Source organism: Homo sapiens, chromosome 9 (genome assembly GCF_000001405.40).
Source record: "Homo sapiens chromosome 9, GRCh38.p14 Primary Assembly".
Lineage (NCBI taxonomy): Eukaryota > Metazoa > Chordata > Mammalia > Primates > Hominidae > Homo > Homo sapiens.
In genome coordinates, this window is record NC_000009.12 from 67,196,498 (window position 1) to 67,221,297 (window position 24,800).

At 38.5% G+C, this 24,800-nt stretch overlaps 2 pseudogenes across 1 annotated transcript in view; one reads left to right on the plus strand and one right to left on the minus strand.

Moving 5' to 3' along the window:
* Positions 1-24,800, plus strand: part of CNTNAP3P2 (CNTNAP3 pseudogene 2) — a 237,697-nt pseudogene that overhangs the window by 137,038 nt on the left and 75,859 nt on the right. Inside the window, exons 9-10 of the transcript NR_111893.2 lie at positions 4,579-4,722; positions 20,696-20,867. The product of NR_111893.2 is annotated as a CNTNAP3 pseudogene 2 (transcript). The remainder of the gene's footprint in view (positions 1-4,578; positions 4,723-20,695; positions 20,868-24,800) is intronic.
* RBM17P2 (RNA binding motif protein 17 pseudogene 2) lies at positions 14,940-16,626 on the minus strand (annotated as a pseudogene).

The following is a 24,800-nucleotide window of genomic DNA, read 5'->3' on the forward strand; positions in this document are numbered from 1 at the left end:
TTGTTGGGCAAATGCTAGGTTAGGGGCTCAAATCCCATGAAGCCAGACTGAGTTACAATAGATGGGAACTAATCTCACATGCAGTCAGATGTGGGCAAGTTTGTTAACTACAGAGCTGCTGGATTCTGATGATTGGATTTGCAGATGGGAGGAGCACTGGGTCCTAAATTGACATTGTGCCTAAATTGGCATCGGAACTAAATGGGGGCTTTAAAAAAAAAAAAGCGTAATCTGAAAAAGAAAAAGGCACAGACGAAGAGGCTGACTTCTGCTTGAGACCAGGGGGATATCATACTCAAAAAAAGATTCCTTTTGGCTGTAAGAGGCACACGTGACTATACTGCTATTAAATGTTGTGGTACGAAAGCACGATTTCAAGACCCGTGAAGAAATTCGGAGGGTGGGGCCTTATCTCAGTACTTCTGGAACAATCAGGCAAGTCCTGGGTGTTAGAATCTGTGTCCACCTCACACAGGTGTTTCAGGGGAGATAAAACAGATATTCAGAGGAGACGTATATTTTTTATCTTTTAGAAATGCAAACCTAGTTTCCATTTCCTCACGAATAAGATTTTTTCCAAGAAAGGTTAAAATCGTGACCCACACACAGATACAGAATGAACACATGTCAGAGATTTTCTTTAACTCATTGATGAGAGAACCAGTGTTAGGGAAATAAGTAAAGATAAAGTTGCCTACCAACATAGTGAATCAGTTTCACAAGGTAGAAATGAAATAGTCTTATTATGGAATAAGTATTAAGCCAGACTGTGATGTACATTTCAGGCAATCACTAATGTGATTGCAAAGATAAAGAAATTTCATCCATTTATATAGCCAGGCAGATACAACCCATTACATACATGTTCTAAAGATAAAGGACAACTTGTCCTCAAGTAAGAGGACTTGACAGCGCCTTTTGCTACACAGCCCATCTTACATTCACCTGGTGATTGGGGAGGCACACTCCTTTATGCAAAGGAAAACTAAACTCCATGTCTCTTTGACAAGTGGGTAGTTGCAACTTGGAGCCAGGCACCTACGTTAAAATCCCACGGAGACAAGGAGATAGGAGCACTGCCTTTCTTGGTGTTTACATTTCAAAGAAATGTCTCCAAGGTCCTCAAGAAAAACACTCCTGGAAACAAGAAAGAGGCTAAATAAGATTTTGTTTGTTTGTTTGTTTGTTTGAAGATTTTAAAGATGTACAATTACAAGTTTTCTGAAAGAAATGCTCTAAGGAAAAAAAGTGAATGACAGTGTGTATCCCTTTTAGCACTAAGAAAGCTTTTGTTTGTTTTGGTTTGTGTTTACCCTTACACCAGTAAGGCCTGTTTAAAGAAGTACCACACATTTATAGTCAGAAAAGAGATGCCGACTAGCTAAACTTTTCAATATCCAAAGGGAAAGGCAAATCCCTTCTCTGTACACACTTTGCATCTCTATGGACAAGCATTATTTGCATTATTATCAATGTTCTGCAAGTTAACTTCTGTCACTACACAGCTGTAAAGTAACTAGTCCAAGATGATGGTTTACAATCCCGTAATATCAGCTGATCTTTCCATTGAAAAGATACCCAGTAATCTCCTTTGCCCATTTCAAAGACTGCCCTCAATTTTTTTCCTACAGTAGTTGGTTCAGTTTTACTGCTGATGAGTTGCATATATTCTGGATTCAATGAAGTGCTGAACAAGCACTTCATCCAGTTCTGGGTTGCACAATAACTAGAATTAAATATAATTAAAGTTCTTAAATCTCATCAGGATTTTGCTTTAGCTCATGGCTTTGTGAGTATGATATTTTGCCTCTGCAGTTAAAATGTTGTAGTTGTTAACAAGAGATCATCTTCATATCAAATGTGTTTAAAATAACATCTATGTTGTGGGCAATTAATTTAGTAACTTCTCATTGAAATATTTACAGATTCTACTGTATCTGATTTTCTTGTGCATAAACTATGGCCAAAGGCCAAATACAACCTAATAGAAAACAAAAAGAAAACAAATGTGGATGATAGACATGAAAACAGTTATACAAAGATCTGCTTTTATTTGTCAAAAGATATTCTTAAAGAGGGCACTTTTTGCAGTTATAAAAAGAACATGTCAAAGATTTTGTTTAACTCATTAGTTTATGAGGGAATCAGTAAGATGTTACTGCTGCAATGATTTTGTGTATAATGTAAAACTGGCTTATTCCATGGGATGGGGTAGAGGAACCAGGAAGAAGTTCAGTTGTATTTCTGCCAGACAAAATTCATTTGCATGTCTATGGACAATAATCATTTGCCTGCTTTGAATTTTCTACAATTCACAGGGTGGTAAAGAATTCAAAGAAGGGGCCAGGTGTGGTGGCTCACGCCTGTAATCCCAGCAATTTGGGAGGCCAAGGCATACAGATCACGAGGTCAGGAGATTGAGACCATCCTGGCTAACAACGGTGAAACCCCATCTCTACTAAAAATACAAAAAAATTAGCCAGGCGTGGTGGCGGGTGCCTGTAGTCCTAGCTACTCAGGAGGCTGAGGCAGGAGAATGGCTTGAACCCGGAAGGCGGAGCTTGCAGTGAACCGAGATGGCACCACTGCACTCCAGCCTGGGTGACAGAGCGAGACTCCATCTCAAAAAAAAAAAAAAAAAAAAAAAAAAATTCAAAGAAGGTAAAAGGCACAGAAACCTGCAGAATCATATAATCCTCCAGATTGTGTTTAGACAATGCCTAGTTTTACATTGAAGACATCCAGAATCTTGGTTGATTTTAAAGAATAATTTATTTCCTTACACTTTATTACTACTTCTGTTTCTGTTTCATACATCACTGAAGGTTAAAAGGGAAAGCTAAAATATTAATGTTAATGTTTAATTTTTAAGAAGTACTACATTTGAAATGCTAATAATATACTAACTTCACATAAATGCATGTTAGGAAGAAAAATAAATGAAGCATAGAGTCATTTTAATAATTTACAGGTTTCCCAAGACTATCAAGTAAAATGTTAACTTTATAGGAAAATTTCTGTTAGTCTAAAGTTTATTATAATATATGTAACTTCTGAAATAGTTTCAATCTTGGCCTAATTTTAAACTTCAGTGCAAAGTTAATTTAATAGGCCTCAGGAAGCTAATCTTATTTTTAGCCCATTTATTGGCATGTATCTTTGACATATTATCAGGTAAAAGAAAGCACGGAATACCTCTAGTGATTTTAAATACCTTAACATTTAAATTTACCATCAAAGACAATTCATTATGTTACCAAATTATTTGACAAGATTAATTTCATAATTACTACTAAGAATCATAATGTGGATGTGAGTGTAAATATATAAAAATATTGTACATATATAAAGTACAACTCCAGTTCTTTCCTAAGCATTTTTTATCAAATATTAAATAATCGCTTTTATTTTATTTTATTTTATCTTTTTGAGACAGCGTCTCACTCTGTCACCCAGACTGGAGTACAGTGGTGTGATCTCAGCATACTGCAACCTCCACCTCCCAGGTTCAAGTGATTCTTATGCCTCAGCCTCCGAAGTGACTGGGACTATAGGCTAGTGCCACCATGCCCAGCTAATTTTTTGTTTTTTAGTAGAAATGTGGTTTCACCATGTTAGCCAGGCTGGTCTCGAACTCCCAACCTCAGGTGATCTGCCCGCCTCAGCCTCCCAAACTGCTGGGATTACAGGCATGAGCCACCATGCCCAGCAAATAATAACTTTTAAAAGACAGTATAATTATATCTATAATAATAATTTAATTCAGAAACACACGAATATATGTTAAAGATTTTAACTAATCAATGAAGAAACCAGTAAGATGTTACAATCAGTTCAGAGGATAATTCAAAGTACTACACATACAGGCAGATAAGAAATGCCAAAATGAATTACAGACAGATATGAAATGGTTCAGTAAGCAACTGCACCTCGCTAGGCACAAGTCATTTGTATTTCTATGGGTACAAGTCATTTTGCATTACTATCAGTTTTCTACAGTTTACAGGGCTGTAAAATAGCTCAGACAGTGAAAGCAGGGTTTACCTTAATTAATGGGTGCAGTAAGCCAGACATCCAGTGATCTTCCATTTCAAATCCTGTCACACCCCATAAGTATGTGCAATTTTGTGTCAACTTTTTCTAAAAAAACCTTTTCACAATCATTCTTGACATATTTTTTATCAACTCACTTTCTTGATTCTTGTAAAATGTTTTTGTTAGATTCAGTAAAGCAAGTAAGTTTTACATTTGAAGATTAAACCAAACTGTGTTGTTTTTATCCCATTGTAAAGGCTTCTACTGTATATATTTGATAATTAAATTCTAGTTACTTTAAGCAAATTACCAGAATTTGTTACAGTGATTCTTCAGAAAGAGTAATATTTTTATTCATGTGTTATTTTCGTAATAAATGAAATTTTTAAATTAAAGATAGGTGGTTATTGTTTTTTTCAGTGATACATGAACATGTAAATACCACTCTTCTCTGACTTATTCAGTGATCTGAATCAAATTGTTTTCAAGTGTTTACAGAGCTCATAATTTAGAGTTGTCTCTGACTGATTGTATTTCCTCCAGGTGCTGGATTAAACGATGGGCAGTGGCACTCTGTGTCCTTCTCTGCCAAGTGGAGCCATATGAATGTGGTGGTGGACGATGACACAGCTGTTCAGCCCCTGGTGGCTGTGCTCATTGATTCAGGTGACACCTATTATTTTGGAGGTAAGAGAAGGCAACTGAATGACACTGGCAGTGGAACCACTTTTTATCTTTATTGCTTTGCATTTTGAGTCTCTAGTCAAATTTAAACCAAGTTGATACTAAGAAATAATTTATCTCTAGCCATGAAATTAATACCTTTTGAGTTTGTAAAAAACATGAAACATTTAATCAATTTTTCTTCCCAATACAAAAATAAGTATCTGCAGAAAGTTTACTTGCTGTTTAAATAACTTCATATTTTCATTTAACATTAAAAGAAAAATATATTTGAGCTACATGTAGTAAATAAGTGGAAACTTTCAAACAATATCATAGTCATATCTCTACAACAGATAAATCCATTTATACTTCTAACAGTTAGCTCATAAAAACAAAACAAATCGTACTGTCTGAAGTCATTGGCTTACATAAAATATTACTTATATATTTAAGTCCACATCTAAATCTATACTATTGAATCATTATTAGTACACAGCTCAGTTTATAGATAGATGGATAAATATTTTTTACATGGAGAAGGCGTAATAGGAAATATCATACTGATTATGAAGTACTTTCAAAACATTGACAATGTAAACAAATATTAATTAATAGGAGACAAGCATATTAAATGAATCCAGTATAATTGGTGTTACACTGGTGCAAAGTATTGAATGTTTGCTTCCCCACCCCAGATTCATATGTTGAAATCCTGACCCCAAAGTCATGGTGTCAGGAGGCTTTGGAGGGTAATTAAGTCAGGAGGGTGGAGCCCTAATGAATGGAATTAGTGCCCTTATAAAAGAGGCCCAAGAGAACTCCCTTGCCTTTCCTGCCATGTGAAGTTATAAGGCGAAGACTGTGGTCTGTGAAGCAGACACTGCATCTGCTTTGCCTCAAACTCAGACTTAGACTTTCCAGCATCCAGACTGAGAGAAATAACTGTTTGTTGTATAAGCCACTCTGTTCATGGGGTTCTGTTAATAGCAGCCCAAACTGACTATGAGAACTCATACAGCTAAAGAAATGGAAACAAGTGGATCTTTTGATTATAAAGGAAGTTTGGATTTTTTTAAATTAAAAGAACCACTAGGAATAACAGCAAAACCCTGCTATGTATTCTAGAATGCTCCTGTGAATCCAAAGATTATGCTTTTATATCTGGAAACCACAGTTAAGAGAAACAATCATGTGAGAAAACTTATCACATGGGGGCATGGATGCCTGTACATTACAGCATTCTGTTATCATCCCATATCACCACATATATGATAAGAAAACTCACTCTCAAGTAAGAAAGTTTTCAACTAGGTACGAAATTCCATGCTGGACACAGATACAGAGAGCCACTTGCACTGTACCTAAACACTGAAGTGTTACTGAGGTAACTTAATTACTTGTAATTCTTACTGGAAAGGTAAATATATTCAGCCTTTCTTAGTAATAAAAATTATATGTAAACAGAAATATAGATCTAGTAATAGAAGACTTGTTATATACATGCAGTCCTATACATTGCATTTTACCTCATCAGTATTTGTGGTATTTCGCAAAGAATATATACTTTTCCAAATATACAGCCACAGACATTCAAAGACTTCACTGAGCTGTCCTCTGGCACACAGGTGTATTTAAATTGTTAAAGAAAATTAAAATGGCCTGAGGTATCTCTGACCAGACAAAGCCTTGTAAGTGGCCTTAACTTTGCTTGATTTACCAATATAAGCAAAACTTAACTTGAGCTATTTCTTGTAAATGGCTTTAAAAATAAAAAAAGTCAAACTTAAGGCTAACCAATCAGAAGCCAATTAACTTATATAACTAGAGACTTTCCAGCAGGATCAACCAAATAAGGCAATTGTATAACTACAACCAGTGAAAAATTTGCTACTATATTTACCTTACAGAAGCTGTCCCTTTTTGTTCCCTTGAAAGGGTCCCTGAACCAGTTCCCATTTGAAGCTGCTTCAACAGTGATTCATGAATCACTGTTAGCTCAAATAAACTTTTGTGCCTCCATTTACCTTTTATTAATGGATACATTTATATCTGTAGTTGGATGCTTTTTTCCTCTAAGCAGACACAAAGTAAACCTGAAGAGCTTAAGATTTTTATTTATTTATTTATTTTTATTTTTTGAGGCGGAGTCTCGCTGTGTCCCCCAGGCTGGAGTGCAGTGGCGCGATCTCGGCTCACTGCAAGCTCTGCCCTGCCAGGTTCACGCCATTCTCCTGCCTCAGCCTCCTGAGTAGCTGGGACTACAGGCACCCACCATCACATCTGGCTAATTTTTTGTATTTTTAGTAGAGACGGGGTTTTCACCATGTTAGCCAGGATGGTCTCGATCTCCTGACCTTGTGATTCGACCGCCTCGGCCTCCCAAAGTTCTGGGATTACAGGCGTGAGCCACTGTGCCAGGCCAAGATTTTTAAAATTAGTTAATGCCTTGGTGTATCTTGAGTGGATGATAACATAGGAGTCCTCAGAAAAATGCAGCCATGCCCGCCAGCCTTTTCAGAAGAACGAAGTTGGCTTAAGGAATCATCATCGGTCCAAGATTGTTAGTGATCTGAGAAATTTCATGTGCTGAGGATGATGCCAAATTAAGGGTTTCCAAGTATGAGTACCAGGATACCTCCTATACCTGCTCTCAGCCATATGTGGTATCGACAATTGCCTCTAACAAAATTTTTCCAAACCAAGTAGAAGAAAACAGTAAACGGAACAGAGATTTTTTTTTTATTAGGATGGGACTGAAATCTGTCCCTCCTTCAGGATGAGGGCTGTAATCTGTGTGACAGAAACAGATGACAGAGTTTGATCCACACTACTTTGTTTTCAGAATTGCTAGCCCAGATGGAATAGGTCCAGAAAGAAACTAATGAAATAAGCAATAGAAAATCTCAAACATTATAGTCTTTGACAATGTATATTCATATATAATTCCCATTTCCTACAGAAAATACGTGATGCTTCTCTTTTTTTTTTTAAACTTATTTTAGGTTCAGAGGTATACATGTTCAGGTTTTTTATATAGGTAAATTGCATGTAATGGGGGCTTGGGGTACAGATTATTCCATCACCCAGGTAATGAGCATAGTACCTAGTAGGTAGTTTTTCGATCTTCACCCTCCTCCCACCCTCCACCCTCAAGTAGGCTGTGGTGTCTATTGTTCCCTTCTTTGTGTCCATGGGTACTCAATACTAAGCTCCCACTCATAAGTCAGAATACATGGTATTTGGTTTTCTGTTCCTGTGTTAGTTCACTTTGGATAATGGCCTCCAGCTCCATCCATGTTGCTACAAAGGACATTATCTCATTTTTTTTATGGCTACATAGTATTCCATGGTATATATGTACATTTTCTTTACGCTACCGTTGATGGGTATTTAGGTTGATTCTATGTCATTGCTATTGTGAATGAACATGCACGTCTGTGTGTCTTTATGGTAGAAAGATTATTATTCCTTTGGGTGTGTACTCAATGGGGTTGCTGGGTCGAGTGGAAGCTCTGCTTTAAGTTCTTTGAGAAATCACGAAACTGCTTGCTGCAATGGCTGAACTAATGTATAATTCCCCCAGCAGTGTATAAGCACTCCCTTTTCTCCACAGCTTTACCAGCACCTGTTATTTTTCGCCTTTTAAATAATAGCAATTCTGACTGGTGTGAGATGGTATCTCATTGTGGTTTTGATATGCATTTATCTCATGACTAGTGATGCTGAGGAGTTTTTCTTATGCTTGTTGGCCACATGTATGTCTTCTTTTGAAAAGTGTCTGTTCACGTCCTTTGCCCGTTTTTTAATGGGGTAGGTTTTTTTTTCTTTCTTGTTAAGTTCCTTATAGATTCCAGACATTAGACCTTTGTCAGATGCATAATTTGTGAATATTTTCTTCCAGTAGGTTGTCTGTTTACTCTGTGGATAGTTTCTTTTGCTGTGCAGAAACCCTTTAGTTTAATTAGGTCCCATTTGTCAACTTTTGTTTTTGTTGCAATTGCTTTCGGTGTCTTTGTCATGAAATTTTTGCCATGTCCTGTGTCCAAAATGGCATTTCCTATATTTCCTAGGTTATCTTCCAGGATTTTTGTAGTTATAGGCTTTACTTTTTTTTTTTTTTTTGAGACTTTAGAGTCAGTCTCACCTGTTGCCCAGGCTGGAGTGCAATGACACGATACAGCCTCAACCTCCCAGGCTTAAGAGGTTCCCCCGCCTCAGCCTCCTGATTAGCCTGGACTACAGGCACGTGCCACCACATTCAGCTAATTTATTATTATTATTATTATTATTATTATTATTATTATTATTGTTTGTAGAGACGAGGTCTCGTTATGTTGCCCAGGCTTGTCTCAAACTCCGAGGTTCAAGCTATCCTCCCACCTCACCCTCCCAAAGTGTTGGGATTATAGGCGTGAGCCACTGCACCTGACAGGTTTTACATTTTATTCTTTAATCCATCTTGAGTTGATTTTTGTATATGGTGTAAGGAAGGGGTCTAGGAACTGCTTATGGTTAGCCAGTTATCCCAGCACCATTTATTGAATAGGGAGTCCTTTCCCTACTGCATGTTTTTGTCGACTTTGTTGAAGATCAAATGGTTGTAAGTGTGTGGCATTATTTCTGGGCGCTCTATTCTGTTCCATTGGTCTGTGTATCTGTTTTTGTACCAGTACTATGCTATTTTGGTTACTATAGCCTTGTAGTAGAGGTTGAAGTTGGCTAACGAAATGCCTCCAGATTTGTTCTTTTTGCCTTGGATTCCCTTGGCTATTCAGGCTCTTTTTTGGTTCTATATTAATTTTAAAATAGTTTTTACTGGTTCTTTGAAGAATGCCATTGGTGATTTGATAGGAATAGCATTGAATCTATAAATTGCTTTGGGCAGTATGGCCCAATATGGTTAAAAACCATATTTATTATTCCTATCCATGATTATGGAATGTTTTTCCATTTGTATGTCATCTGTGATTTCTTTGAGCAGTATTTTGTAATTCTTCTTGTAGAGATCATTCATCTCCCTGGTTAGCTGTATTTCTAGGTAGTTTATTCTTTTTGTGGTCATTGCGAATAGGATTGCATTCTTGATTTGGCTCTCAGCTTGCATGTTGTTGGTATATAGGAATGCTACTAATTTTTGTACATTAATTTTGTATCCTGAAACTTTGCTGAGATTATCAGATCGAGAAGCTTTTGGGCAGAGACGATGGGGTTTTGTAGGTACAGAATCATATCATCTGCAAACAGAGACAGTTTGACCTCTTTTTCTCCTGTTTAGATGCCTTTTGTTTCTCTCTCTTGCCTGATTGCTCTGGCGAGGACATCCAGTACTATGTTGGGTAGGAATAATGAGAGACGGTATCCCTGTCTTGTCCCAGTTTTCAAGGGGAATGCTTCACATCTTTTGCCCGTTCAGTATGATGCTGGCTGTGGGTTTGTCATAGGTGGCTCTTACTATGTTGAAGTATGTTCCTCCAATGCCTCATTTGTTGAGGGTTTTTAACATGAAGTGATGTTGAGAAAATACCTGATGCTTCTCTAGAGACAAATATATGAAAGCAAACAACATTTCATGAAGGAATGAGGAATATTTTGTGGCAGCAAGAATGAGAATGACTCTCCAAGATGCCCTGGAAACTGAATATGTTACATCACATAAGGGATTTTGCAGATGTAATTAAGGTTGCAGACCTTAGGAGATGATCGTGATTCATGCAGTGGGCTCCATGTAATCACATGAGCACTTAAGAGATTTAACTCTGGTTGGAGGCAGAAGAGACACAGAAGAGAGGTGTGGGTGAGGGGAAGCCAGAGAAACTAGAAGCAGGAGAATGTCTCTCTGCACCATTGCTGGTTTAGAAAATAAACTGGGCACTATGAAGAGCAACGCAGGCAGCCTGACATTGCTGAGAGGCCCCAACTACCAGCCAGTGATGAATTGGGACCTCACTCCTACAACTACAAGAAGTTGAATTCTGCTCTAACCTGTATGTGCTTGGACACACATTCTGCCCTAGGGCCTTCATAAGGAGCCCAAGAGCACCTTGATTTTGTCCTTGTAAGACTATAAGCAGAGTCATCAGTCCAGCCCTCCCACACTTCTAAAGTGAGAGATAATAAAGAGAATGTTTTAGTAATTTGTTACAGTGATGATTAAAAGCTGATACACATTCCAACCTCCATCAGATCCATTTACAGACATTCCCATTCAGTTCTAAACCCTTGGACAATGGCCAAAAAAAAAAAAAAAAAAAAAAGGTTTCCTCAAACACACCCTGAGAATATACTGAAAAAGATTACATATATATATATACATATATCTTAGGTGGTGGCCCACGCCTGTAATCCCAGCAATCTGGGAGGCTGAGGCCGGCGGATCACCTGAGATCAGGAGTTGAAGACGAGCCTGGCTAAAATGGTGAAACCCTGTATCTACAAAAATACACACACAAAAAAAATTTAGCCGGGCATGATGGCAGGTGCCTGTAATCCCAGCTACTTGGGAGGCTGAGGCAGGGTAATCACTTGAAAAAAAAAAAATATATATATATATATAAAAAATATTTTTTAAAAATATATATATATAAAATATTTTTTAAATATATATATGACCAAAGAGAATAGTTTCAACAGAAAGTCAAAATAGCCAACACAGTTTCTGTGTTTTGTTTTGTTTGGATTGTGTATGGCCTTCGAGTGAAGTAACATACATGATAATGAACCATATAGGGACACAGTGACAGAAATGGGAAGGCTGATCCATGATCATATATGCATACATAGATACACTATGGATTCCAAAGTCCCCTTTGACCTGAAAGTGTGAGAAGAGCCCATAACCCATTTGAAACAGATACGCAGCAACCACAACCCAAATTGTATATGCATAAGTAAAGTTGTCCTTATTTCAGAGATGATATTATGGATTGAATTGTTTTCCCTCAAATTCATATGAACTCCAGAATGTGACCTTGTTTGGAGATAAGATCTTTGCAGAGGTAATCAAGTTAAAATGAGGTCATTAAGGTGAGCTCCAATCCAATATGACCAGTGTCCTTATGAAAAATGGAAATGGAGGTGCAGAGACACACAGAGAAGGAAGACGCTGGGACAACATGCAGGAACAACGCCTCAGGAAGACAGAGGCCTAGACTGTTACACCTGCAAGGCCAGGGCTGTTTACTGGGTTCCTCCCTGACCCCACATCCCACCTGGGGCTGAACCCGACCCAGACCTTACCACCCACTGCTGCTACACTGCCATAAATCCCTTTTTCAAAAAAATTAAAATATTTATTTGACAAATAAAAATTCTATATATTTAAGGTATACTATGTGATGATTTGATATAGGTATACACTGTGTTCTGATTACCACAGTCAAGTTGATTAACACATCCATCACATCACACATAGTTACCATGTTGATGGCAGAGGGGAGTGAAGTCATTGAAAATCTGCTCTCTTACCAAATTCCAGGTAAATAACACAGTATCATTATGTATCACCATGCTGGATCATCATGCTGGATCCCTTTTGTTTCATGGGGTTGTATCACCATGAAACAGTATCACCATGCTGGATCCCTTTTGTTTCATGGGGTTGTTGAAAAAAGACTACAAATCAAGGACTGAAATGCATGTCTTCCAGATAGGCCTAAATAAAAGATCACACTCAGGAACCGATTTTAAATAGACCACCCTTTATGAAGCTTCCCTTCATCATTGTGCCCAACGGAATTGTAACAGTGTGAAATGAGTGCCACTACCTTTTCCACTGCTTTATGTGCTGGTTTTATTGCACCATACAGGTATCCCTAGAGCCTCGGCTCCTCTGGAGCATCTTATTGATTTCCCACTGCCGCATGAAGAAAGGCCATGCTTTGCCCAAAGTGACTAATAGTTTTACTCAGTCGGTTATTTCAACTTATTTTTATTGCCCAGTAATGATGCAGTGAAACATTTTACCAAGTCAGGGAGCGCATCAGCCTTTCCTAGACAATAATAAACAGAATATTTGCCAGCTCAGTCAATGATTGAGTACAGCCAAGAGACACTGCAGCCTAAGAGAGGGCAGTCAGAGTGGGGAGGTCACAGAAGGGTGCAATAAATCTTCTGCCCAGGGATGTTTACTCAGAAAGTCCTTGGTCATTAGAAATGTCATTTAACTCTGTAAATAATAAGATACATTTGCTAATCAATGCTTGAGGTGCTTCTTGAGAGTATTAGTATAGTTTTGCATTTTACTGTTTTTTTTTTTCCAGAATCCTTTTAAAATTATGTTGGAGACAGCACAATATGAAAGTAAAATTCGGCCAGGCACAGTGGCTCACGCCTGTAATCCCAGCACTTTGGGAGGCCTAGGCAGCTGGATCACAAGGTCAGGAGATCGAGACCATCCTGGCTAACACGGTGAAACCCCGTCTCTACTAAAAATACAAAAAAAAAAAAATTAGCTGGGCATGGTGGTGGGCGCCTGTAGTCCCAGCTTCCCAGGAGGCTGAGGCAGGAGAATGGCATGAACCTGGGAGGCAGAGCTTATACAGTGAGCTGAGACTGCGCCACTGCACTCCAGCCTGGGTGACAGAGTGAGACGCCGTCTCAAAAAAAAAAAAAAGGTAAAATTCATCCCTAAAATTGGCTGTCAGCATGGAAATTATAAAACTCATTTTCTAAACTCTAACAGTCCTTCAGAGCAAACTTTCCAAGAGCAACTGTGAAAACAGACAATGTCAATCTGCAAAGTTTCTGATTGTTTTCTTTCCTCATATTCCGAGGTGTGCATATGTGCCTCAAATTGTATTAAAACATTTGCTATAGATGACAGATTTTATAACAAAAAACAAATAAGCCAATATATCCAAGACCTATCATTTCAAAGGTAAAATATTTAGGAAGCACTAAAAGGGATAAGAATGAAAGTACTATTCATTTTTTTAAGTGATACTAAATAAAGTTGATTATAGAAAATGATTTGTCAAAGTATAAATATAGTATCACCTTTAGGGTTTAAATTCTACAGGTGAGATTATTCAAGAGCCCATTTCCATAAATATATACATGCTAATGTGAGAAATGCTTTTGAGTTATTTTTATGCATATCATAATTTTATTCATTTTTACTGTGAAATAGATCATATATGTACAGTTAAAAATATTGCTAATTTTTCAAAAGAATGTATATATTGTTACATGAATATACCACATTTTATCAGTTCTACTGTCCCATTTTGCTATTGTTAGGCAATTTTCATTTTTGCTTTTAGATTTGCTTTATAAAATTTAGGGGGGTGGTGTTTCATTGTTTTGCTTTTTTTTTAGACAGGGAGTCACTCTGTTGCCCAGGCTGGAGTGCAATGGAGCAATCACAGCTCACTGCAGCCTCTGCCTCTCCAAGCTCAAGCACTTCTTCCACCTCAGCCTCTGGAGTAGCTGGGACTGCAGGCCTGCACCACCACACCCAGCTAATTTTTGTTGTTGTTGTTTTTCTTCGTATTTTGTAGAGACAGAGTTTTGCCACGTTGTTCAGGTTGGTCTGAGGTGATCCATCCACCTCAGCCTCCCAAAGTGCCAGGATTACAGGCATGAGCCACCATGCCCAGCCTAAAATTTAGTTTTTAAAATATTCTTAACATACCTAGTTTTTCCAGTGAATTTTGCATTCCTTGTGTGTGCTTTTGTAACTTTATTTACCCATCTGTATAGTAAACTTCGGGAAACACCAGCTCTAACCACCATGTTTAACAGCATAAGCTGGTTGTTAAATTTTACTGATGTATATAAACCCAAAATAGATCATTTCTTCACATAGAAACAGCCTTTGGTTCCGCTAGTATTCATTACTCATTTTAGTAATTTAAAGACCACATGACCCAAATTCTTCTTGAATGCTGTGCAGTGCACTGAAAGAGACTAATAAGCCCTTTTCTGTTTTCTAAGCAAATTTACTTCTTGGGATATTTCTGTTCATACGGTTTCCTATGACACATAGCATCACTAAGAGTCAAATAAGTGAAACTGAAAAGATTAAAATTAATCCTGTAATCCAGTTTTAATAATGAGTTCATTTCATTATGTTTCTTTTTCCTTTCCATTTGTTTTATACTGGCCTGGAGAAAACAGGCTTGATGGATAAAATCCACAGTATTTTCTTCCTAACTAGCTTATATATTTAGAATGGCCTGAATATGTACAGCTGCAGACACTAACTTCATTCCTACAGTATAATATCTACCAATGATTGAAACTAGTCAGCTGCACGTTTTATTTATTTATTAAAAAGGATTTGGATTTTTATACAATATTTAAAAACCACAAAATGAAAAGGGATCAATCAACGTATATCTTGGAGGTCCTTCCAAGAGTCTCAGTATCTAACAGCCATGGAGGCTGTGACCTTTTTCCTTCTTTTCTCAGCCTGCTTGTCATTTAAGGGTCACCAGAGATGACTCATGCTCTAGTTCTTAAAATCAAACTTGTTCCACCAAATCCAAGATGCTGAATTTGTACAAATGTAAAAACATCCTCTTGCCACCTGTCCACCAAAATACCTTCTATTCAAGTGAACAACAGCTTTAATTGCTGACTCAACTCTCAAATTCTAAAAAGGTCTGTGCTTCATCATCAGGGACACCAAGAATTTCACATATCACACATTTTCTAACTTTGCCATATTTTTCATGGCAAAATTGGGAAATACCATGGACTTTATCCATCAAGCCTGTTTTCTCTGAGCCAATATAAATTGACAATGGAAAAGAAAAAGAAACATAACAGAATGAACTCATTATGAAAACTAGATTAACTATACTCTTTTCAGTTTCACTTATTTTATCCTTAATGATGCTATGTCTCATAGGAAACCATATCAACTGAAAAATATGTCATCACACATTCTTCTCTGGTTTCAACTTCCAAGTCTTCTTCCACCTCCCCTTCACCAACCATGTTCCTTAGTAGGACCACCTTAGTAGGACTCAAGTATTTCAGTCAGTGGATTTGTACCTGATCTTTCAATGCATCTTTCTCTGCGGCGTCGCCCACGATGATCTTGCCGCCTGATTTGCTAGTCTTCCCCACCGGAAAGGCGTCTCGAAGCCCCTGCAGGTGCTCCCCGAGGCCCCAGCCTTCCCGGAAGCTGCGCTTCTGCATGATGTTGTGCACCACCGTTCCCACCACGTTAGCGAGGAAGGAGCTGCTAGGACGGTTTGGAGATCTCAGTCTGTCCTGTTCCTCCTTCACTGGGGGAGGAATGGCTGCTTTGGAAGACCGTGACTGAGGTCTTGAATCCTCTTCATAAGGAAAATCTCGGGGTGACTCTTGGTCTTTCTCTACCAGAGAAGTGGGAGGGGCAATGGCAGCTCCACCCTACTACTTTTCCTCCTCTCTCCCTCCTAATCTTCCCCTTCATCAGAATCTGGATTTGGTCGCCTTGATCAGAACTCCCCTAATTTCTTGCCTGTCTTCAGGCCTCTTTTCCCTTTCTTCTATTTCCTTTCATATTTCTAGCTCCTGCTGTGTCTGTCGTTCCTCTCTTTGGCACTTCACTACTTTCTCATAATCATAAGGGAACATAGGATCATATTCGTCAGCTAAGGGAATCAGAACGTCCCCTGCAAAAACCCACTGGGAGCAGGATCCTTCAGCCCACCTGCTGCATGCCGTGGTGTGTCCCCAATTTGCAGGTCATCTGAGGAGCCGCCTGGCCTTAGGTCAATGACTGGCAAGAGCTGCACTGTTTCTAACTTTGGCTCTTTCCCTGAGTGAGAGCTGCCTTCCTCACCTGAAGCTGAGACTGCAGAAGTTTGACGTTTTGGAACCAGCCTTATGCTTTTGAGTCACTGGTCTCCACTCTCAGGCCATCGTATGGGGGCATCTTTTTTTTTTTTTTTCAATTTAATGTTGCCCTGCTGACTCTACCCATGGGTAGCCAGGTTAATATGAAAAAATGAAGAAGAAGAAAAACCCACCAATTTCCTGATGCCAGATAAATGGAAAATGTTATTTGCACCAAAGAAACCTTGAGAGACTTGGAACAAATCACTGGTGGATGTGGGTTTCTGGATCTCACTAGATTTATTTTAATAGAAAGTTTAGGCCAGACGCGGTGGCTCTCACCTGTAATCCCAGCACTTTGAGAGGCTGAGGTGGGTGGATCATCTGAGGTTAGTAATTCAAGACCAGCCTGGCCAACATGGTGCAACCTTGTCTCTACTAAAAATACAAAGATTAGCTGGGCATGGTGGCGGGAGCCTGTAGTCCCAGCTACTGGGTAGGCTGAGGCAGGAGAATTGCTTGAACCTGGAAGGCAAAGGTTGCAGTGAACCGAGATGGTGCCACTGCACTCCAGCCTGGCAACAGAGCGAGACTCTGTCAAGAAAGAGAGAGAGAGAGAAAGAAAGAGAAAGTCTAATTTGCAGATGCAGACCTATCTTCTATACTGTCATTTGTCCATTCTTTTTTTTCTGGTCTGTGATTTCATCTTTTTGAAGAAGTGTTTTTCAAGCAGCACTCTGTACGGTTGCAGGTTGTGCATATAGCCTGCATTTTTTTGCATTCATGCCTGAAATAGAGATTGACTGAAGGTCAAATTCTTTTAAACTTACCTTTATGGAATCTTTCTGCTATTCAATGCCATGCCTCCTTCCATGATATTGAGAATACAAAATTGACTGTTGTGTCGCCAGTCCTCACATCCTTCTTGTAGGAATCTGCTAGACCAAGAACTTGTGGCAACACTGCATTGAAGTCTGTCACTGCAATAACACACAGTGACAATTTTCTTGCCAACCTCATATGCTTACACAAGTGAAAATAACCGGGCTAAAATTTTCATGGGTCTTAATATCTTTATTTGTTTGATTTCATATCCATGCAGTACTTTATGATTAGAATTTGTCCTGAAAGTTTCATAACTTTTTGCGGGACACCTGGATTTATTTTAGTTTTTTTTTTTCTAACAGAGTTATCGAATTCATTTTCTTTTAAGAATAACCTGGCTGGGTGCTGTGGCTTATGCCTGTAATCCCAGCATTTTGGGAGGCTGAGGCAGGTGGATCACGAGGTCAGGAGATCAAAACCATCCTGGCTAATATGGTGAAACCCCGTCTCTACTGAAAAAAAATACAAAAAAAGAAATTAGCAGGGCATGATGGTGCGTGTCTGTAGTCCCAGCCACTCGGGAGGCTGAGGCAGGAGAATGCTGTGAACCTGGGTGGTGGAGCTTGCAGTGAGCAGAGATCACACCACTGCACTGCAGCCTGGGTGACAGCACGAGACTCAGGTCTCAAAAAAAAAAAAAAAAAGATAACCTAAGTTATGTGTCAGGAAACACCACATGGTGAAAGAAAGATTAGCAGAACTGTTGATATTCCTATAATTCATTACTGGAAAATATTTATTGAATTAATAATCCTCTTAATTCTTAACTTAATGTGTTTATTTCTTAATGATTAGTGAGATGCAGTAGAATTATACAAAGTTCACTCTCTATCCCATTCTTCAGAAGGTTCTGCTGTACCATTTAAACTTTTATTTCTTTTGTAAATATAAAAATATAAAAGATTTTAGTCTTCAAACTTTTAAACAAATATGGTGTTAAATGTTAAACTTCCAAGTGTCTGTGAGGTTATGTATGGTTTCGATAAGCTAAAAAGAAGCCTTAATATGAGGGAGGCTTTTACTTTAGGGATCTAAAGCAGAAAGTATTAAAGTTAAAGAGATAAAGCTTCAGTTATTAAAATAGAAATCTAAACACAACATTTAATTTTTATGGAACTTTTAGGGAGGAAATAAGAGTACAGGCATTGAGAGGTGCTTCATTTATTCCAGTAAGAGGAATCTTCATTGACTATTTTTTGAAATTGTGCTAGTGATTAACAATATAAGGTCAAAGAGAGGTCAATGAAAAACACATAAGTACAAATTCTATACTTCATTTTTTTCATTTTAATGAACACTGTAAAGAAAACTCAATCCTCTAGTGATAAATATTGATGTATATTTACTATAATCTTTGGAGAAAAGGGTATTTGCATGGACTGAAAGTGTCATGCCAAATATTAGGTTTAATACCTAATATTTGAATGATTGGGAAAAGAAAATAAGAAATTATATCTCACAAGTTTGAAAGAGACAATACTTACAGAATCAATATAAGCAGGCTTCTTTTTTAAAATAAGGCAAAGGATAAAATTTTTAAAAGCTATATAATTTCATAATATACAATTAAATTAATTACTAATTCAATTTCTCTTGTCATTGGCATTACACCATTATGAAATGAGGTTCCTCTTTCATATTTGTATGTTAAAATTAAGTATTCATTTAGATCAGAGGTAGGCAAATCACGGTCCATGGCATATTATATAAGCCCAAATGAATAATTGCTTTGTATTTTTATTTTTATTTTTATTTTATTTGAGATGAAGTCTCGCTCTGTTGCCCAGGCTGGAGTGCAGTGGCACCATCTCGGCTCACTGCAAGCTCCGCCTGCTGGGTTCACGCCATTCTCCTGCCTCAGCTTCCCGAGTAACTGGGACTACAGGCACCCGCCACCACGCCCAGCTAATTTTTTTTTGTATTTTTAGTAGAGACGGGGTTTCACCGAATTAGCCAGGATGGTCTCGATCTCCTGACCTCATGATCCGCCCGCCTTGGCCTCCCAAAGTGCTGGGTTTACAGGCGTGAGCCACCGCGCCCAGCCCTGCTTTGTATTTTTAAAGGGTTATAACAAGAAGGACATGCAACAGAGACCAGGTGTGACCCACAAAACCAAAAGTGTTTACTATCTGCGTTTTACAGAAAACCTTTGCAGACTCCTGACGTAGACAAATGCCTTATGATTTTATTCTGAATTAATATGACTCTTTCTACAAACAGTTGTCTTTAAATAATAAGATTTTACAATTATTGTGTTTTCTTTAACTAGAGTGTGTACTTTCATCCTTTTCCTTACTTTTCAAACTTAGAGTTCCATTATTAGGTTATATATTGTAACTCAAGAGGGTGGGAGTAAGTTCAAGACACTACTTTCCTATATGCTTGGACTGGTGTGGAGTAATACTGCTTACGTCAAAGTCAGGCACTCACCACTGCTTCTTATAAGTACTGTTCTTGTTTCACAAAACAAGCCCACATAGTAAAGGGAAGTGATGTCATAAGCATTGCCATTTGTAATTTAGGTGAAATTAGCTGACGATTGTAGTGAAATTTTTAATATTTAACTTCTAATATTGGAAATAATCAAATGTCTATTTTATCTCTTTCTATTCCTAGAACATTCTGGACTGCAAATTTTTATCCTTATATACCCTAACAGTGTGTTATGTCCTGTTACTTTTTGTGTTGTTGTTAACATTAGAATTTAATCTTTAGTTATATATTTGACTAAAGTACCTAATACCAAAGAAAGTGTTACTAGAAAAGCAAATCTAGGTATTTCCACCCAGTCAGTATAAAAAAATACGTTTTTAAATACTCCCAAATATACAGACATCGCAACGCACAAAAACAGCTATAGGGTAGATATTTAACATATTTTAGATAAATGGTAGTACACAATTATATTTTCAGGTAGCATTTTTCACACTTCACAGCATATCCTAAATAAAATTTGGGCTATGATTTCATTTATTTTAATTTAACCTCCACTTTAATTTTTTTCACTTATACTACATAATGCTAAAATGCATGCTTATTTCTTAGATGAGATTTCACAAAAGAAGCCAAACCTCTTTTCACTTGGTTGGGAAATAATTCCTGTTATAGGAATTTTAGATCTGAATTTTCCCCCGCAATTTCTTATTCTGAATTCCAGGTATTATCTTAAATTTGATCAGTTCTAACCTTGCCCCTTCTCACCTCTCTAATGAATGGTGAAGCTCATCGCATCATACCGATGTCCATAAACAAGCGGGAGCAGCAGTCTTCATATAGTAAATACTGTGGAATAGTTTTGTCATAGTTGTTGCTTTTGTCCTATTTTTGTCTTCATATTCAGGCTGCCTGGGCAACAGCTCTGGCTCTGGATGTAAAAGCCCCCTGGGAGGGTTTCAGGGCTGCCTAAGGCTCATCACCATTGGTGACAAAGCGGTGGATCCCATCTTAGTACAGCAGGGGGCGCTGGGGAGTTTCAGGGACCTCCAGATAGACTCCTGCGGCATCACAGACAGGTAAGGGCCATCCTAGGTCACTTTAGCTTGCCTGTTTTCAAAGTTGAAGAAAGCAAATGTAGACAGCTGGAAAAAGGCATTCCGTTCTCTTTTTTGTTGTTGTTATCTTTCGAGAGGGAATGAAATAGTCATAATTACTATGAGGATTAGAAAACTTCATCTTGGCCGGGCGTGGTGGCTCACACCTGTAATGCGGCTGAGGCTGGCGGATCACGAGATCAGGAGATCAACTTCATCCTGGCTAACATGGTGAAACCCCGTCTCTACTAAAAATACAGAAAAAAAAAATTAGCCAGGCGTGGTGGCAGGCGCCTGTAGTCCCAGCTACTGGGGAGGCTGAGGCAGGAGAATGGCATGAACCCGGGAGGTGGAGCTTGCAGTGAGCAGAGATCGCGCCACTGCACTCCAGCCTGGGTGACAGAGCGAGACTCCGTCTCAAAACAAAAGCAAAAACTGCATCTCTAATGGAATAAATAGCATTTTTTAAATGATAGTATTTTATTAGAAGATATACACCTTATGAATTTTACCTTAATATGATCCCGAGTTGCTCAGCTAATAGTTATAAAGCTCGCTTTTGCAACCACACACCCATCAGTTGGATGATATTTTTCCAGGCAGAGGAATTTGCCAGGTTACTATTCATCAGCCACCCAACCCCACATGTTCTGCAGAGAAAATAAAAAGTAATTTCTGCTAGAAAAGTTTGAATCATAAAGACGGATGAAGATGTGTGCAGAAGGACATACTCAATGAAATATGGAGGTTAGACAAGAAAAACATTTAATTCAAATAAGTATTACAACCACAGTTATGCTAGTTGTGCCATAATTTTACAAAGATTTTGGCTGAGAAGAATCATAGGGTCACACCTGGAAAAATAATATTTCTACATACAATTTGCCCCAGTACATTTGGTATTTACTTTCAGTGAATAAATAAATGCTACAGATTTAAAAATTAAAAAGCGATAATCTGGCCCAGCGCGGTGGCTCACGCCTGTAATCCCAGCACTTTGGGAGGCCGAGGCGGGCGGATCACGAGGTCAGGAGATCGAGACCATCCTGGCTAACATGGTGAAACCCCGTCTCTACTAAAAATGCAAAAAATTAGCCAGGCATGGTGGCGGGCGCCTGTAGTTCCAGCTACTCGGCACGCTGAGGCAGGAGAATGGCGTGAACCCGGGAGGCGGAGCTTGCAGTGAATGAGATCGTGCCACTGCACTCCAGCCTGGGCAACAGAGCCAGACTCTTCTCAAAAAAAAAAAAAAAAAAAAGTTATATCTGCATCTGGTAGAACTTTCAAAACCTGCCTTCTTCATGGAGTAAATTCAGTTAGTCAATTCTGTTTTAAACATTAACTGTAAAATTATCCTCTCTGGCTAAACAGGTTTTAATTTATAACTCACAGTTAGTGACATACTAAAAAAACGCAATTACTACTAAATGAAAAGTTCATTCATATGGACTTTATTTATTCAGCATGGAATAATTTCCCCCTGTGAACATTCTGTTGATTTGTAGGAAAAATGAATTAATTCAAAGATGAGGAGTATATGAAGTGTAAGAATTTGTCAAGTACCTCTCATTCTTGACCTTGAGATTTGAATTCTTGGCACACAGCTGGGACTGCATTTACATCTCAACACCAGCTCCAGAACCCCACTCTGTAGTCGTGGGAAGGGTAGTTGGGAAGGTTTCTGGCCATTTGCTCACTTAATATAATCCCAAGTTGCTCAGCTAACTAGCCAGGGAGCTCAGCTCTCTCTGAGTTAAGGGGTAATGTCCCATGGGCCCACACTGTGAGTGACAACAGCTGTCAGCTCAACTGTGATGCAAGTGTGATTTTCTTCACTTGTATGACATTATTTTGATACCTTGTTAATTACTCACAAAATATGATCCATTTGCAGTGTTTCTGTTATGAGATATATATTGTGAGGCTGCCTCTTTTCAGAGATGATCCATGTTGCCTGCTTTGTGCATGTAGCTCCCAAAGTACAAAACTATTGTTTTTACTGTTATAGGCTGTTTTGTTTTAACCTTAAAGTCCCAAGAGTTACATTGGTGCCTAACTTGGTATCTAAGATCCCACATTTTAAAAAGCCCTCCAAATTGTACCCCAAAGTTACTTGTAAACATGCTCAACTAAGCATGTATGTGTGAGCCACACTTAAACTTCAGCCATGATGTGTACAATAATCATTGCAGATAAGGATTTTAAGAAAGCACTTTTAAATCATTTTCAAATAGGGCTACAAATAAAGGCTATTTACTATTTCATTCCCAAATTCAGTAACGTAGAAGACTAGCTCCTCTGAGATTATTTTGAAAACCTGAATTTTATAAAGCAATAAAATTAGAAAACTTTGGGGACACAAAATGACATCCTACAGAGTTAAAATTAAAGACCTTTGCTGTTCCCTTTACATAAAGTTTTCAAAACCTGAAAATACTGAAAATTCACTTTTAAGTATCCTGAAAACAGGCCTGTAAGCATCTATCAGCCTTTCTTTGTTGTTGTTAACAAACAAACAAACAAACAAACAAAAATCTAATTGTATTAGTCTGTTCTCATGCTGCTAATAAAGATATACCCAAGACTGGGTAATTATAAAGAAAAAAGGCTTAATGGATTCACAGTTCCACATGGCTGGGGAGGCCTCACAATGATAGCAGAAGGTGAAGGAGAAACAAGACACGTCTTATATGGCAGCACGCAAGAGAACCTGTGCAGGGAAACTCCCCTTTATAAAACCATCAGATCTCGTGAGACTTATTCACTATCATGAGAAAAGCCTGAGAAAGATCTGCCCGCATGATTCAGTTACCTCCCACAGGTTCCCTCCCATGACACGGTGGGAATTATGAGAACTACAATTTAAGATGAGATTTGGGTGGGGACACAGCCAAACCATATCACTAACTCACAAAGTAGAAACATATGTTACTCAAATACCAGACCTAAAAATCCTACTTAGGGACAGATAAGGGGTATGAAGTTATCTTTTTTAGTCAAAATTTTAAGCTACGCAAAAAATAGCAATGGGCACTTTGGATGACAGAGTCACAAATAATGGATGTTTATGTTTGGATAGGTGTTTGTTTGTTTGTTTTTTTGAGACAGAGTCTCGCTCTATCGCCCAGGCTGGAGTGCAGTGGCACGATCTCGGCTCACTGCAAGCTCCGCCTCCTGGGTTCATGCCAATCTCGTGCCTCGGCCTCCCGAGTAGCTGGAACTACAGGCGCCCGCCACCACACCTGGCTAATTTTTTGTATTTTTAGTAAAGACGGGGTTTCACCGTGTTAGCCAGGATGGTCTCGATCTCCTGACCTCGTGATCCACCCGCGTCAGCCTCCCAAAGTGCTGGGATTACAGGCGTGAGCCACCACACCCGGCCAGGATAGGTTTTAACTTCTTAATCACCTCTTACATCAAATTCCTATACTGTTTTAAGGTTTGCCCTGTATACCACATGGCAGAGCTTCCAGTGGAGTCCTGTGCTGCGTTCCAACTGGGGCTCCCTGAGCAGGGAGGCCTCCGTCACCTCCTCACCTGGCTGTGCTGACCAGGCTTCTGACCCCACTCCTGCCCTCCCTCTGCCATCTTCCCCTCTGTTGGTCTTCTGCATGCTAGCTACTTCCTCTATTATTTGTAATACATGTAAATTTTTCACAATTGATGTTGTGTTTAGTTGAAGAAAAATAGTGTATACATGTTGATAGTCTCTAGATCACTTAAATAGTTCTTATTTCCAAATATTTTGAACTAAAGTTATTCTCTCCCTGTTGATATCAAACAGCAGTGGTTTTTAATGTTTTTTAAAATTTGTGGAATCTTCAAGTCAGGTATGATCTTAAGATGCTCCATTATATTAAGAAGGAAGGGGAGGAGAGGGAGAAGGATGTGGGGGAAGAGGAACAGCTGCTCTTT